The sequence below is a fragment of the Homo sapiens genome, chromosome 5 (assembly GCF_000001405.40).
Source record: "Homo sapiens chromosome 5, GRCh38.p14 Primary Assembly".
Classification (NCBI taxonomy): domain Eukaryota; kingdom Metazoa; phylum Chordata; class Mammalia; order Primates; family Hominidae; genus Homo; species Homo sapiens.
In genome coordinates, this window is record NC_000005.10 from 160,907,155 (window position 1) to 160,925,434 (window position 18,280).

The following is an 18,280-nucleotide window of genomic DNA, read 5'->3' on the forward strand; positions in this document are numbered from 1 at the left end:
GTTTCCTTTTATAATCTGGTTCTTCGGCCTTCATGCAGGTTCAATAAAAGCTACCTGAAATCTTTCTAATAAATTTCATATTTTCTAGATAGAGCCTGTTTCTGTTGCCTGTAGCCAAGGAACCCTAGTTGATTTTTTTTCTTTAATTTACACAACATTGTTATTGAATAGTTTCTGTCTGCCAGGCAATGTACTAAACGCTAAACTCTTTACCTGCATTATCCTATGCAATTTTTTTTTGAGATAGGTTCTGTTGCCCAGGCTGGAGTGCAGTGGTATGATCAAATGCAGCTTCTGTTTCTGGGCTTAAGCAATCCTCCCACCTCAGGCTCTTGAGTGGGACTACAGGTGTGTGTGACTGCGCCCAGCTAATCTTTAAATTTTTTTGTAGACACAGGATCTCACTATGTTGCCCAGGCTGATCTCAAACTTCTGGGCTCAAGCAATCCTCTTGCTCTGGCCTCCCAAAACATTGGGATTACAGGCATGAGCCACCACTGCACTGGGCCCCATGTAATTCTCACAAACTCCAAACAGCAGAAACTTAAGTCCATTGCAAAGTTGAGGAAACTGAGACTTAAAGAGGTTGAGTGACCTCTCCAATGTCAGCAGCAAAAAGTGTCTATGGCAGAGATAGTACTTGCCAAATACCCATGTGCTACTTGGTACTTTTCAGCCTCCCTTGCATTTAGGTTGGTCCTTGTGACATAAGAGTGATGGTGACATGTCCCACTCCCAGGCTGAGCAGCTAAAAGCTGGTGCGCCTCCTCCATCTCTCATACTCTGCGCCTCAGTGATCTTGAAGAGCTTGGAGGATGACTTGGCTACAGGTTGGATGATGGTCTCCCAACTTAAACAGGACTATGACACAGGGAGGAGTAAACCACTACCCAATAAAGCCACTGGGAGTTCAGTTTGTCTGTTGTGTGTTAGAGTTAAGTATCCTGACCAATGCATTAGCAGGGCTAGAATTTGAAATAATTTCTAGCTCATTACACTATGTCACTATGTGCTATCTTTTTACAAACACAGAACTAAAAGAGGAAATGACATCTACAAAACAAAAAAGAAATGACCCTTTTTGAGCCCCCAAGTCCTCGCCTGGTTCTCTCTCAATTTTCCCTTTGTTTTCCTGCTTTGGATTCAGGCCTATGGAGATCTCCCTAGTGCCATAATGAAATAAGCACACAAGATAATAATTGATATTAGAAAAACCTCCTCTGCCACTTATTGAATGTCCGCTGGCCCATAGTCATTGAACTAGTAAGTGAAAGACTATGGATTCAAACTATGAAAGACCTGATTTCAAAGCTCATACCCAGAATCCAAATGTTTATGTTTCCTGAGTGAGCTGCTCATCTGCTATCGAAGGATTAGGATCAACTGACATTTCTTACTTTTTTGCTTCCTCCTTCTCTTCTACAGATATCTCATCTCCAAGAGGACCCTGGGGTCAGCCAGGTTTGAGGATCACTTACTCTGCCCTCAGCAGGAACACAATGGTGATCTGAAAGGCATGGAGGCTGAAAGCAGAGAACATCCCTGGTTAGGTCCTAGCTCCCAGCATGAGGAGATTGTGGTTATCATCATGATAATGATTTTGCTAATTTTATTCCATCCATCTTCATTCCTCTGCTGAGAGGTTAGCAGGCTATACAGTTTGATGCTTATTATTCCCTTATTCTCACCATCAACACTCCTTCTGTCCTCTCATCAAATCTAAGCTTCTGCTAGCCTTTATGTCCTCCAAGTTCTGACCCTAACTTCCTTATTTCCTACCCACCGCCCTCTGCTTTAGGTAGTGATCTAAATTTAGTTCACTATCTTAAATATTAATCAAATATCTACTATGTGCCAGGTACGGTGCGAGGCTCTGGGGAATGAATGGTGGATGTAACAGATATGGCACCTGCTCACCTTAAGTGGCCTATGATTTTATGGGGGGTCAGACAAAGAAAGGCAATTGCAATGCAGTGTGATGAAGGCTCTGATAGAGAAGGGCAGGCACTGAGGCCCAGATGGCACTTCAGCCCAGACTATGAGGAAGGATGCTCTTTTCAGCACTGTAAGAAGCCAATTTATCTGGCAAAGAATTCAAAACGTGATGGAAGGTAAGACACAGCCAATGCTGTGTGTGTGTGTGTTTTTTTTAATTCTTGGTTCCCAAACAGGACATGCAGCTGCTGGTGACTCCTTTACACAGATACTGTGGCTAGAGAAATGTGATACTAGAGCTTTGGTCTTATCACATAGCACACTGGTTTCTCCATCATGTATGCCATGGTATGGTCCCTGACCACACACATGAGCAGAGGAACACTTTGGAGGGCTATGAGGCTTTTGCAGAACCATTTCTTAAGATGGTAAGTTTCCTGAATGCAGGAGCAGGATCCTGTTAGATATAGAAGGTAACTGTGCATTTCCCAATGGAACAGCAATAGAGACAGCTGAGGAGCTGATGTGCAGAGCCACCCACTGGATCTTGTTTCTATTTTTACAATTTCAATATTTCAGTAACTAATGTTTACTTGAATAACGTAGAATCACTTCTGTTTTTTCTCTTGTTTATAAAGCAGCTAAGTGACGATAACGTATTTATCTCTAATTAGGAGGGAAATAATACATTAGGAGAAAGAACTCGGGAAAAATCACAACTGCAGAGAGTGCAGGGCAATGTTAGTTTCCATCTCCAAGGCCTCTGCTGACCGACATGGAAGCTGCCGGTTGTAGGCAGCTCAGTAAAGCAGAACAACGACTGTCAGGAAGTGAAGAGATCTAATTTCCAAAACCATGGAGTGTTTCCATGATCTTGAAGAAGGCACTTCACCTTTGAGCTTTAGTTCCTGAGTTTGTTAAAAGTAGGGGTTGGGTGAATTAAAATATAGAGACTCCTCATCAAGCCCCATATGATCAGGTCTCTGCTCATTTCTCTCCTTATCCCGCCCCTCCCTTCTCCTAGTCCACTAAGCTGCATCCACACTCTGTCCTGACTCTTAAGAAGCCTGTATCAGGGCCTTTGTGTTTGCTCTCATTATTTCCTGAGTTGCTCCCCTATCCTTTTCAAGATGAGACTGGTTCCTTTTACATTCAGGTTTCAGCTCAGACAGGTTTTCCCTTGATTCTCTTAGCTAAAGCAGTCCTCCCCGGTACTACTAAATCACTTGTTTCATATTATTCATAGTATTCATCACTTTCTGAGATCTCCTATTTGTATGTATATTCTCAATCTCTTTCCACTAGAAGGAGAGCTCCATGAGAGCAGACTCTGTCAATTTCGTTTAACGCTCCAGCCCCTATATCGAGAACAAAGTCTGGCCCGTAGTATGTGCTCAGTAAATGTCAAACAGCCAACTGAATAATAAAAATAACAATGAGTACTTGTATGAGTCTGCAATTTTCAAAATACTCTGCAAAGTTTAGTCTCATTCAGGCTTCACTATCCTGTAAGTTAAGCAAAAATTATTGTATTTCATCACCAAGACTGAATTATTTTACTAGTAAGATAATCAGTTCAGTAATTTTTGAGGCTATGAAAAGGGGAAGAAACACTATATTTAATGTGCTTACAAATTTTAAGGCTGGATCTGATTAAGAAACATCAATGATTAAAAAAGTACATACACGACTCAGAATCAAGAAAATTTCATGAATAATACCTGCTATTTGGATATGGTTTGTATGGCCCCACCAAGTTTCATCATAAAATTTGATCCTCAATGTTAGAGGTGGGGCCTGGGGTGAGAAGATCTCTCATGAAGGTTGGTGCCTTTTTCCTGGGCGTAAGTTCTTACTCTTAGTTCCCATGAGAGAACTAGTTGTTGAAAAGAGTCTTTCTTCCTCTTTCTCACCTCCTGTTTATAAATGACCCACCCTCAGGTATTCCTTCATAGCAACACAAACAAACAAGGACAATGCCCATTTAAAAAATTGGGGAGAAATGTTTCCAATGGCCTGAAGCTGGCCAGTGGTAGAGGCTGACTTTCAAACTATTGTTTCTTCTGGTGCCTTTGGTATCCCAAGTGTATTGGTCATAACTAGCATAATCTCCATTACCTTCCTTTTCATGGCTCAGAGGACAAAGGAGATACAACTCAAAACTAACTCTGCTATACGTTGGACATTCTTGGAATTCTAAAATCATCATTCTTCCTCATCTCTGCCTCCACATACCCTAGGTTTTAAAACAATGACTGAGAACTAAAAAGGATAAACATGAGCTTCAATGGACCCAAAAGGATTTGGTGAGAGAAAAGAATTAACTCAAATAGAATTACAAAGGAAGACAGAGGCTTCCGTTCACCAAATGTGGCCAGGGTGCTTGAGTACAGAGCTGGTTGGAAGTAGGAGGCTAGACTAGATGCCTCTCAAGGTCATTTCTAATCCTCGACTTTGGTTTTGGTTGGGGAGAAGAGTGAACATGATCAGGCATATTGAAACTTTACCCCAAGCATGTGTGAGTCTGCTGCATTGATAGCCTGTGAAATTAAATATCTAGGTCCTAAGAAATGAGAGATGTATTTCCTACAAAAGGACTTATGATAATAAAGTTTCTTTTTCAGGAGGTCTGAGAGGGGAAGGGGGTCATCAGAGGATTATACACTTACAGATGAAATCCACCTGCAGGGACCATCTCACCCAGCCTGGTTATTTTAGATACAAAAAATACAATAGTATTGCTCCTACCTCATCCGTGAGGCAACAGCAACCTGCTTGTTAAACATAATGATGCACTAGAGATCTTAGACCGGTGTCTGGCAAATAGTAAGTGTGAAAATATTTTGGTTAAGGTCATGATTATTATATTCTAAGTTGACAAATATTTAAATAAACACTTTGCTATGTGTAAAGACTTAAGAAGACAAAGTAAAACCACTACTAAGGAGCTTGCACTCCAGTAGAGAGAGAGAGATTACATCTATAGGTGTTGAAAGGGTCTGTGTGAGAAGTGGCTGTGGGTGGAAAGGGGACAGGCAGAACTTTTGTATTCAGTATAACTATTACACTTGGGTTCTCATGAGTAGATCTAAATAAAGACCAATTAGAAAATTGGAATAAAATAATGAAGAATAAGTTACCCAAGGAAGTATGAGACATTGAGGTGAAAATGATCATTTGTAATTAGAAATATATTAAATAATTCAGCCTGGTGCAGTGGCTCACGCCTATAATCCCAGCACTTTGGGAGACTGAAGAGGGTGGATCACTTGAGTCCAGGAGTTTGAGACCAGCCTGGCCAATATCGTGAAACCCTGTTTCTACCAAAAAAAAAAAAAAAAAAAAAAAAAAAGAGAAAACTTAGCAGGGCATGGTGGTGCACACCTGTAGTCCCAGCTACTTGGGAGGCTGACACAGGACAATCACTTGAACCTGGGAGGTGGAGGTTGCAGTGAGCTGAGATCACGCCACCGCACTCTAGCCTGGCCAACAGAGTAAGCCACTGTCAAAGAAAAGAAAAGAGAAAAGAAAAGAAGAGAAAAGAAAAGGAGTAAAGAGAAGAGAGAAAAAAGAGAAGAAAAGAGGAAAGAAAAGGAGAAAAAAGAAAAAAGAAAAGAGAAAAGAAGAAAGAAAAGAGAGAGAGAGAAAGAAAGAAAGAAAGATAGTTAAATTAAGTGTGCTTTTCCTACCCCCGGGTAGATAGTTCAGCGGGGCTGTCTATCTGGCATGCCACACTTTCCTGTGTTCTCTGTAGGCTCCAGAATAGATTTCATGTAATTCAGAAGGTGTGTTCCCCTGCTTCTTTGAGAAATAGGTATTTAAGAAGACAGTACTGCAAAGAAGAGAGAATGGTGTTGAGGCCACTGGCCTCGTGGGACAAGAGGACATGCTGGCCATGACTCAATTACAGAGTAGTGTCCCAATGTTTCTCATATAACAGTCATTCTGAAGATTGTTGACAGCATTTCCAATGTGATTAAAATACTTAACTTTGTTAAATGAGGCAACAAGAACCCTTTCTAATAGGGCTCCAGGTAGCTAAACAGATGAAAGAGCTCTTTCCTCTTCTTTTATGGAAACTGGAATGGGAATTAAAAGATTCCAATTCTGGTCCCAGCTCTGTGCTTTCTGCAGCCCTCAGCAACACTGAACCACACTGTGAAACTCAGTAGGACCGGCTGCTCCCTGTTGCCCTTCTACTTCTAAAAATCCCAGAAGCTAAGATTTGATGGAGAAACTAGGATGCTAGAGAGATTCTCTTCTGGCTCCTCTTATTTCCTTCCCTCCTTCAGCATTTTGTTGGATCATGGAGGCCACACTGGCACTAGAAGCAGTTACTATGGGACTGCAGTCTCATAAAACCAGCTTTGGCAAAATAAAACATCATATTCATATTCCTAGTATTTGCATTTACAAGTGTCCTCCCTGAGCTCGTTATCCCGTCCATCCATTATCTTCTTCACCTCTATCTACTTGGCCCAAATCTCCCATCCTAATTTGGTTGTGCAACACATTTCTTTAATTTCCCTCCAACTCAAGGCCCCTAAGAAGAAAGTGCTGGCAAAAAAGCTGACGGCATTTAAAGAACCTCAGTGTTCTGTCTCCTTTATGTATTCTTTATGCTCTTGCACTTTTTATGGGGTTGAAAACCTCGCACTGATAACAATGAGTTATTCAGAGCATGCAGTGTTACTGGGCCTGGGTGTAATGTAAATGGAATTATTTGCCGTGAAAATACCCAGTCCAATCTCTTAGCAAATTGCAATTCCTGAAACTCGGTCCCTTTGGAAGGTGCTTAAATAAATGTGTATCTTGTTTGAGAGATTTGCAGCAATTCAAGAAAAATATTGGTTTCTCTCTAATACGAAAGTAGATTGTCCTTGCTTGATGTGTCATAAAATTTAATTAACAATCATTTATCATAATTTGTTAATTGCCAAATTGTTCACTGTTTGACAGGTTAGGTTGAAAAAGTAAAATTCTTCAGGGTAGATTGCAAAGTAGTTGTCACTTCAATGTATATGTCTACATATGTGTGTGTTTATATATGTATATTTATGGAACAAAATTGAACAGGTTTTTTTATGTTTTGCCTGGATAGGTAAACAACTATTTGTTAAACTAAGCTTTCTTCTATGTTGAGAACTGTGTTAGAACCAATGTCAAAGAGGTCATAAAACACTACCCTATTCTAAAGAAAGTGTGTAAGTCTAATTGAGGAGTTATGTACTTATAAACATGAACCAACTATAGTCATCCCTCATCATCCATGTGAGATTAGTTCTAGGCCCCCCGATTCCCTGTAGATACTAAAATCTGTGGATGCCCAAGTCCCTGAAATAAAATGGTATAGCATTTGAATATAACCTATCTATATCCTCCTGTATAAATCGTCTCTAGATTGCTTGTAATACCTTATATGATGCAAATGCTATCTAAATAGTTGTTTTATGCTATTGGTTTTTTTGTATTATTTGTATTGCTGTACTGCTATTTTTTATTGTTTCCCTTTTTTCTGAATATTTTAAATTCAAGCTTGGTTAATTCATGGATGTGGAACCTGCATATGTAGAGGGCTGATTGGACATGAAAACTGGAAGGCTATAGGTAGGCAAGATCATACGCCCAGGTACTAACTACGCACCTGTTCAGGGACAGAAGTTACCAACATGAAATGGAGGAGGTAGACTTTCTGCAATTTTAATGCAAGTTTGTGGAAGTTGCTCAGTGCTCCATTTCAAAGGACCATGAAAAAATTCCTCTCCGAGTTCAGATCTAGGAAGATGCCTGCCTCTCCTGAGGAACAGCATGACAACTATAATTCTGGGCAAGGCTTGTGGCAGATATTTTGTAAAGCCTGGAAGAAGGTTCACTTAAGGCTGGAGCAGCACAAGGTGGAGACTAGTTTAGGGGCTTAGAAGTGGGATTTTATAAAGACCATAGTGCCTGCAATAGTAAAGGAAGTACCCTGAATTCAGAATCAGGAGTCCTGGGTTCTCATGCTAGCCTCACAAGTAACTCCCTCCTTGAATGAATCACTAAAACCTTTTCAAATCATATTAAATTATGCCTTTAAAAGTTTTTCAAAAATATGATGAAATAACATTTGAAGGTGGGGAAGTTGTTTGAAGGTTGTGCCATAGGGGAGTCACCTCCCTGGATATCTAGGGAAGGAGAACTCACAAAAATACAGGATGAGGTATTCTCCCCACGCTTTCTCCCTGGACTCTCCCTGAAGCACACTGACTTTTTTTTTTTTTGAGATGGAGTCTCACTCTGTCACCCAGGCTGGAGTGCAGTGGTGTGATCTCGGCTCACTGCAACCTCTGCCTCCTGGATTCAAGTGATTCTCCTGTCTCAGCCTCCTGAGTAGCTGGGATAACAGGCGCCTGCCACCACACCCACCTAATTTTTGTATTTTTAGCAGAGATGGGGTTTTACCGTGTTGGCCAGGCTGTTCTTGAACTCCTGACCTCAGGTGATCCACCTGCTTTGGCCTTCCAAAGTGCTGGGATCACAGGTGTGAGCCACAGCGCCCGGCCCCACTGACTTATTTTCTAGTACCATCACACCTTCTGGAGATTTGCCCCGTATGAGACAAAAGACAGGCAGGAATAGATTAGTGGCTTTCACATGATGTTCTCTGGAGCTGTAGGGTTTGGAAGAGATGATTTAGAGCCACCATGGTGGGCAAAGAGGCAAAACAGACATTCGTCCCACACACTCACCCCTACATCTCACACACCTTTGCACACACATACACTTGCATATATACTCAGAGTACATGCTCTCCTGTTCTTTCTCAGAGCTTTCAACTGTGTTTTATACCAGCATACTGTAAAAATCACACAGCACTGAATTATTTGCATTCCCTCAGCCCGCCATCTGTGTAGAGGGGACTCTTCACTTCCTAGAACAGCCCTCCTGTAACCATAGAAACAGGGAGTAGGATGGGGGTTGATCCCCTCCTCCATGTTCCCACTGAGGTAGGAACTTTATAACAACTCTTGAGTTATGGTATATCCCTAGTCTACAGATAAGGAAACTAAGGCTCAGAAATTTGCCCAAGTCACACAATTAGCAAGTGAAAAAGCAGCTATGGAATCCAAGTCTATGTGACCGCCCTTATCATGTCTGGATTTGGGGATGTATGTGCTGAAAAGTACACAAGGCTGAGAATCAGGAAGCCTGGGCTCCAGCCCTTGTTTTGCTGAACTTTATTAATTTTAGGCAAATTTCTTATTTGGAGCCTCAGTTTTCTACTGAAGACTTTGGACCAAATGCTCTCTGAATTGAAGGCAAAAGATGTTTTTTTTGTAGATAGCTTCCCAGGGTAAGACCCCATAGCTTTAACAGATTTACTGGGGTCCATGTGCCCCCTAAATGTTAAGCACCCATTTAATAATGCTAAGCAATGAAATCACAACTGCCAATACTTGTGAGTACTGATGGTGTTCAGCATTGTCCTAAGCATCGCACATGTTTAACTCCTTTAATTCTCATGACTCTAGGAGGTAAGTGCTCCTTTATCTCCATTTTAGTGTTAAGGAAATGAAAAGAGATTAAGAAGCTTTCCTAAGGGAACAGAATAAGTCATAGATGCCAGATTTAAACCCAGGCAGTTGGGCTACAGAACCCACATTTTAACCATGACATTTCTGTTACCCTCTAATAGCCTGAGGAGGACCATCTTCCCCTGATTACAGCTGAGGCTCAAGGGGCTGGCACAGTTTAGAAAGCATCTAGTTCAGTGGATTCTAAGCCTTATCACATTCCTTTGGACTCTATTCTCTTTCCATCTACAGTGTCGTGTGGTTTACAGCATGCTGGTATAGAACACAGATGAAAGCTTCTCTGAGAAGAGAGATCAGGAGTGCCTGTGCTGTGTCTGAGTATACGTGCAAGTGTACGTGTGTGCAAAGGTGTGTTAAGATATAGGGGTGAGTGTGGGGAATTAAAGTCTCAGCATTTTTCCCCTTTGCCCACCATGGTGGCTCTATAGCATCTCTTCTACCTTATACCTCCAGAGAACATCATGTGAAAGCCACTAATCTCCTCCTGCCTGTCCATTTGTCTTATAAGAGGCAAATGAGGCACAGAGAACAGGTAGCAGGAGACACACAGCACATCAGAGGTGGAGCTGGGTTGTGGGGCCAGGGCTCCTGATTCTAGGGTACTTCTTTTTTTTTTTTTTTTTTGGTGCATTATCTCATTACTGTAACCAGGCCACCACTCATTCATGTGTGAGGGACTGTTATCAGACAAGGACACAGTTACATATCTTCCAAGGCTTTCCCTGGGCTACCTGGATGTTTAAACACCTCTAACCATGAACAGGCTGGGAACAGGCAACAGAAGGCTTTCTAGGATGGGGCAAATGGAACAAACGCTTTGGGGTGGTTTGGCAATGTCAGTAACAGTATCCTGGTCAATGTCAATGGCAGAAAAACATTCAGCTACAAGTGGTGGGATTATAATGGGGGTGAGGGCATTGATCACCTAGAAGATCTTTACAATCCTCAAGTCAAATCACACCATTTGTGTGCCTCGATTGGGCCAGCTTGGATAGGGGAGGAAGATAACAGATTTCACTCTGCCAGGCCCCCAGATTCAGGTGAGACATATTCTTGCAGACAGAACATGTCTGGGGATGTCAGACCTATTTACAAGCCACAACTCTGCTGGCGTCCCTGCCACCTACCCTCCCTTCCAGGTTTGCTGTCATGGTCCTTTGCTGCCTCAGCAGTTGTTAGCTGCAGCTGGCTGAGTGTTCCAAGGAGCAAGCTTTCGGGGAGCTGTGACCTGATTTAAGCAGTGAAGGGGACACTGTGGAGCAGGGTGAGGACCAGCAGCCACAGCTCTTCCAGGCAAGTCCCTGAGATGCTAAAGGGCTGCTCAAGGTTTATCTGCACAGTCAGCTGAGGAACATCCTCATAGGACCACAGTGAGGAAGGAGAGCTGCGTGTTCTCATTCTGTCTACTCTCCCTACTCTCCCTTTTCACACTGAGGGCCCTAATAGGGATGCAGATGATCAAGCAGTCATTGTCAGTGAGCACCTATGGGGTGCCAGACACTATGTTAGGTGCTAAGGGAAAGTGGAGATAGAGCAGGTCCCCATGAAGCTTTCAGCATAAAGGGGGAGGCAAACTTAGACCAAATGAGTATACTGGTTATAATTAGAAGTGGCAATAAACTATATCAAGAAGTGGTAATAAACTACAGAGCTAGAAGAACACATAAACAGGGGGCTTGATTGAGTCTAGGGACGTGGGCAGGGAAGGCTTCCGTGTGGCAATCACAGAATTTATCTGAGCTCTGAAGGGTTAAAATCAGCAGGAGAGGTAGGAAGAGCATCTGAATGGAGAGAACAGCGAGTATAAAAATCTTAAGGCTAGATAGACCATGATATTCACCATGATATTCACCATGATATTCACCATGAAATACCAGTGATACATCATACACATACCTGCACACACACATAAATCCTACTTACTCAGCACTTTCCATACTACACACTTCACATTTTCTCATTTCCCTTTCTTTAAGATGTTGGAGAGGCAGACACAAACAATGGAAAAGTGAAGAGAGAGGTTGGGTTGGATCATCACGGGGACAAAAGGGAGGTCTGTAACATCTCAGAATGTCCACCAGCCAAGGGAAATTTATGGAGTAGATAAACCTTGCTCAGAGGAGGATTTCCTAGGTAAAGGGAGAGAAGCATAAGATGACAATCTTAGGCAAGGAGGCACAACTTAAGTGAAAGCTTAGAGGTAGAAAATGACCTAGTACCTGTATAGGCAGCTACCAGCATTTTAGTGTTACTATGAGGGACAGTACAAAGCAGGGAGTGGGCCGGGCGCGGTGGCTCACGCCTGTAATCCCAGCACTTTGGGAGGCCGAGATGGGCGGATCACGAGGTCAGGAGATCAAGACCATCCTGGCTAACACGGTGAAACCCCGTCTCTACTAAAAATACAAAAATTAGCCGGGCATGGTGGCGCGCACCTGTAGTCCCAGCTACACGGGAGGCTGAGGCAGGAGAATGGCGTGAACCCGGGAGGCGGAGCTTGCAGTGAGTCGAGATCGCGCCACTGCACTCCAGCCTGGGCGACAGAGCGAAACTCCGTCTCAAAAAAAAAAAAAAAAAAAAAAGCAGGGAGTGGAAGATCAGGCAGGAAACCCTTGCATGGCATCCCTGTACACATTTATTCTTTCCATGAATATTTACTGGGGCATCTGCTTTGTACTAGGCCCTAAGGCTATGATACTGTGCAAAATCAGACTTGGCCCATAGTCTTGGAACCAGGACTCACACAAAGCAAGTACTCAATCCAGTGGGAAGGACAACCCAATAATCAAACAAATGGGATTTGGGGAGATGACTGGGAGGAGTCGCTAGCAGCCAACCTTTGTAGACCCTATTAAGAATGTTGGTACTCATTTTCATAGCAGTGAGAAGCTCTTAGAGGATTTTAAGCAGAGTTTTAAACAGGTTCAGATTTGTATTTTGAAAAGATGATTCTGATTGCTGTGGAAGGAGGATATCTATTCTCTGATTAGAAACCCAGCCCCTCTCTGCTGACTGATCTCTGTCATGTCAATGGAAGGGAACCAGGGAATCCACTCTACAGTGGCATCTACCCATGCAGAAATCCCAGTAGCTTCCGCTAGCTCTCTTTACACTTGGCAGCCATCTCGGGTCGCTAACGACGGCGCCTTCCTGACTGCCTCTGAGGCCAACTGCGATGTCTTGGCAACAATTCTATTAATATCAGAGCTAGGAATGAGCCAATGGAAAGCTGTTCATCCATGTAATGAGGTTTCAGTTATATTTTAGAAATGTGTCAGATAATTTGGTAAGAGACAGCAGAGTTTTTCTGTTTGTCAAGAAACAGGGGAGGTAGAACTCGAGTTCCTGAGCTTCAGCTGCAATGTGAAAATTGTCCTCTGTACTGAGATGCTTAAAGCAAAATAAGCAAATGTGAAGGGAAGGTGGCAGTGAGAGGGGCTCAGGACACCTGTGGGTGGCAATGGCAGGGAGAGTGGACACTGAATAGTGGTCAAGCACTTACAGTCGATCGAGCATCTCTGACACCATCTCATGACAGCCCTACGGGGTATGTAGAAGCTGCTCAAAGAAGAATTTGAATCGACATCTTTCTAACTCCAAAGTCTGATTTTGCCATTACTCTGATGTTTTGCTCAATTGCTGGATAAAAAAGGGCTTAATAGGTACATGTTTTGGTGTAGAGTGAAACTTATTTTATATTAGGAAGAAATGGGCTCAAAGCTATTAAATAAGAGCATCTTTCCCACCAAGCTTAGAAGAATCTCAATATTGCATGTTCCGTGTTCTCAGCATTCATGAGCTCTGACATGGTCATTCTGGGCAGCGCTCTCAAGCATGGGACATGCAAGGATCTTTGAAGAAGCACATGGAACTTACATTGAGAATTGAATCACATAGTAACAAAATGGGTCCTGTTTAACCACTTCAATGTTCCCAGATACGTAAGTCAGTGTTTTGCAACATCACTTGCCCTTCACAATCACCTGGTGAGCTTTCATAAACTCCTAGGCTCAAGCCACACCTCAGAGATGCTGATTTAGTTAGTCCCCGCTGCAGTGCTTCTCACACTTCAATGTCATGCAAACCCTTTGGAGAGCTTGGCAAAAATGGAGATTCTGATTCTAAAAACCTTGGTGGGACTTGAGATTCTGCATTTATAACAAGCTTCCAGGTGACGTCAATGCTGGTCAGGGGGCCTCACTTTGAGCAGTTGGAGTCTAGGGCGTAGTCAAAGTTGAGAACCACAGTTTTAAGGATACAGTCTCAGTTTGGTGCTAGTCTTTTTTCTCTCTTTTTAAAGGTTTAATAAATTATTATTAATCAATTATAATGAATTATACATGCAACACAAATCAAATAGTAAGCAGTGAACAAAGACACGACACCCGCTCCCCACCTTCCCCGCTATGGTCCCAGACACTAGAAGCTCATGTCCTCTATCGGATTAAATATTGTCATTCTTCCTCTACAGGATCAAATATTGTCATTCTTCCTCTACAGGATCAAATATTGTCATTCTTTCAGAGGGATCCTTGCATATACAACCATAAATGTACATGTGTATATAACCTTTAAAAAGCCACAAATAGCAGCTTTCTATTCAGCACTTTGTTTTTTTTTTTTTTACTTAATATATCTTAAAGATTGTTTCATAATTGTACATAAAGAACTGCCTCATTCTTTTTTATTGTGGTAAAATATATATAACTTTTACCAGTTTAAACATTTTTAAGTGTACAGTTTGTGGCATTAAACACATTCACAATGTTGTGCAACCATCACTACCATCTATCTCCAGAATGACTATCTTCCCAATCTGAAACTTTGCACTCAATAAATAGGGCTAGTTAATCTCAACTCTCCTTTTACAGGTCTCAGAACCAGAGCTTTCCGCAATGTCTGGCTAGAGTTTATACATGTTGCTCTGTGTTTAATTTTATAGTCACTCTCTGTTTGTGATAAGAAATACTCATTGTCCCATTAAAGTAGTCTTCCTTTTAAACAAACCTAAGTTCCATTGAAATGACAATGTCTTATAGTTATCAGTGAAGGCTGTACCTGGCTGTGCCACAAGATGTGAAAGTTGAACATGAAGGACTCAAACACAGGACATTCCCTTGGCCCTCTGCTGTGTGCCCAAATGACCTTTACCTTCACTCGCAGGAGAGCAAAGATGGCTTCCCTTTTGGGCCTCATGACTTATACCCGCAGGCAGCCTTTTCTAAGTGCTAGAGTTGTTTTCAGACCACAAAGCAGTTCCTCTTTTCTCATCCTTAATGGAATGGCAAAGAAGAATAAAGGCCTAGGCCTCTTACAGGATTTTGTGTCCTCTGATAGAGATGGGGAACACAACCCCAGGCATTTAACAGTAGGTGACATTAAGGAATGTCCCTTCTAGAAAATGACATATTTTCATGCGGGTGGGTGTCTGGCTTGAGAAAAGTCAGAGAAGGATCAGCATCTGACTCATATGAAAGTCTTCATAGCAGAACTCAGCTGAAGGGAAGAGGTAGATTCACTGTGTAGACCAGAGAAAGGGCTCAGGATTGGGAGTCCACAGACCTGGCACTGAGGTCTGGGTTTATCACCAGCTGGTTGAGTGTCTTGTAGCAAGTCACTTTTACCTCTCCAAGCACTGGTTTTCTTCATGTGCAAAATGTAGAGGTGAATATCTTATGAAGATTAAATGTAGTAATATATGGAGGTATTTAGCACTGGGCCTGCCACGTTGTTAGTGCTCAGTAAATAGAAATATTATAGTTTCAGATGATTCACTGAAAAGGAAGTAAAGAATGGAGGAGGATGTGGGCAAAAAGGCAGGTCCGAGGACACTCAGATGGTCACCACCCAGCCAAATTTTCACCTGTGACTACCCAGACTAAGTAGGCAGAGAAATACTGAGATGTCAATAGAAGACAATGTGTCTACAAAGAATTCCAATGACCCAGTACTTAACCTTCTCCCTTATTTTTACTCCTAAGCAAACCAAACAAAAACCAATCTGAAAAACAAATCTGCAATAGACACACACTTGTCTTAGAAGCTGACATACTGATTCAGTGAATATATCTTTGAGCAGCTCCTATGTACTTGGAAGCTGCTCTGGGTGCTGGGGACAGTGACACACAAGATGGAGAAGATCCTTGCACTCTCGGGCTTATATCCTAATGGGGCCCCTCCAAGCCCTTGGTCCAAGGCCCATTCAGCTGTCCCCACATATAGCCCCTGCTTTTTCTCTGAGGGTCCTGAAATGCAATAGTATCTGCTGACTTTTCTGCCCTGCAGAGGAAGGAAATAGGATGGTTTTATTTTCAGAGGTAAGCACAAGTATTTGTTTGGAAGACTTTTCAATTATTAGTAAAGAAAAAAGTTTACACTCATCGATGAAGTGTCTTTCTGTGATGTGGAGAATAGACAGAGCAGAAGAGAAAATGAGCTGTGGCCAGGGCATGAGACAGAAGCTGTGCTTGCCATCGATCGGAAGGCTGGCAAGCAAGGAAGAGCAGGGCAGCTTGACAAGGCTTGAAAACATGTCCTCAGTATTAGCTTCAAAAGGAGACTGTGCACACGAGAAACACTTGTGCATGATCTTGTGGTGGAAGAGGAAGAATTTAACATCAAATCATCCCCCAGTACATGACATTGGCCTGGAGAATGGATTCTGACATCTAAATAACTGGTTTTGAATCCCAGCTCTGCCATTTAATAGGCACTTAACCTTACCAACCTTAGTTTTCTAATCTGTAAACGATGATGACAGTATTTACCTCACGAGGTTGGAGGTTAAGTGAAAAGGTATACATATAGGAATCAGCACGGTGCCCAGGACGCTGTGAAAGTGTTATCATAAATGTGTGCAGAGCTGACCAAAATAAATGCAGTATTATGCAACTGTGGAAAATGCATTTATTCGTGATCACACAGACATTAAAGAGGATGATGTCCAAGCTTTAACTAGATTTTTCTGACTTTACGCACCTTCCTGATAACAGCCAGCTTGCATAAATACCACTTATGAGGAACAAACAGGATTTTCTTGACGTACAGCCACAATGGGACCACTGTTTTGTCTGTGTTTGTAAATGACAGGATACACAAGCTAGTCCTCAAGCCAAGAAGCCAGTTACTGAAATTATCTTATAGCACTGAAACTATACTTTAAGATCTGTGATCAAGTCCCACTTACTATTAAACCAGACTGAACAGAGAACAAGAAAGGAAAGAGAAATTGGAAAAATGCAACAGGATTGGTGTTCAAAAGGATGGGGCTGAGGCGCCTTGGAGAGACCAACACTCTGCCCTCATGTTTACCTATTGGGACATTCCCTTGATGAAAGGGTTGTCTGGGAAAGCCAGGCTGAGTAGTTAAGCAGCTCAACTATGTCTGAATAAGATTAGGCAAAAGAAAAACAAACAGGCTCCACCAGCTAGGCCAGGGCTGCAAGGACTCAGGAAAACAAGTGAGGCAGGTTTGTCCCCATCCCTTGCCAGCAGAACAGGTTTTTCAAGGATAATCTGTAATGTGTTATCAAACTACCTCTGTGAGCCCCATTCAGGCAATAGGAGTTTGGAGCAGCTGAACAGAGTTGAAGGGCATGTGTTTAATCACACAGGGTTGGGGTTAGGCCTCCGTGTTGCCACCTTCAGCTGGGTGCCCCTGGGCCAACTTTGTGTGCTCCTTAAGTTTCAGTTTCCTCTTCCTTAAAATAATGAGGATAATACTGGAATCTACTTTAGAGTGTTGCTGTGTTAGAATTACATGAACTAATTAAGTAAACTTACACATAGTAAATACTCAATAAAAGGTATTAATTATTAACTACTGTTATTACATGGGAAGCACCTGAGAGCCTTGCGTGTTTGGTGCAGACAGCAGAAGGATGACTGCTTTATCGGGGTCATGGTGCAGTGATCGTGTGCTGGGATTGCAGCAGAAGCCAGGGCCCACCTAGTTGGAGAATGATCCAGTAAAATAACTCTAATATCCAACTGGCTATCATGGCTTAAGGACACGAGAAATGGTAATTGTGTTTGACCAGCCCAGCACAGCCCTTGAAACAATTTCTTCTCGTCACTTATCCTAACATTCTAATTCAAGAGATTTTATATCAACAGATTTAAGCCAGCATAAGGAAATGTTATCACAGAGCTGAAAGAGGCCCTCAAAATGGCCAGGTCCAGAGCTCTGTCTTGGGGAACAGTAGCTCCACTGATTGCTTTTAATAAGCAAACTTATTACCTCAAGGCTTGTGTGGTTGCCTGCCCACAGAGAGAATCCTGAAGAGAGGAGAAAGTTCTGGTCAATCTGGTGAAATCCTAGAGACACAACTTAAGTCATTTGCAACAAGACACTTCACTTACCAGGCTAAAGATGACAGGACACCGATAATTACCTAGAAAGTAGATTGGATCTTGAGTATAAACTCCTGTCAAACTAAATTCCCAGTGGAGTTTATGTTTCCTTGAAAGTTTACTAAAATATGACAATGAAGAGGGAAGGCTGTGGATTATAAGAGTTCAAAGTTCTAATCCTGATTCTGGCCATGTGGCCTGCCTATTATTCATTAGTTCCTTACACTTATACAAGATGGGGATGATAGTCCCTATCTCATAAAAGAGTTGAGGGAAAAGTAGCAGCAGCAGCAAACTTTTGAAGTTCATTATGGACCTATCACTATTTAAGCTCGTCATACCTATCGATTTGTATAACTCTGACAATAACCCTAGGGGATGAGTTTATTATCACCCCCGTTTGTAGACGGGGAAACTGA

General features: G+C 42.3%; 1 protein-coding gene across 4 annotated transcripts in view; it reads right to left on the reverse strand.

The window, feature by feature from the left end:
• The window catches only part of ATP10B (ATPase phospholipid transporting 10B (putative)), a 366,241-nt gene that overhangs the window by 344,035 nt on the left and 3,926 nt on the right, over positions 1 to 18,280 (reverse strand). The window contains exon 2 of one of the 4 annotated variants that reach the window (XM_047416994.1): positions 1,398 to 1,523. The exons of the other annotated variants lie outside the window; for them this stretch is intronic. The gene's annotated coding sequence lies outside the window, so the exon portion shown is untranslated. The remainder of the gene's footprint in view (positions 1 to 1,397; positions 1,524 to 18,280) is intronic. 4 annotated transcript variants of the gene reach the window in all.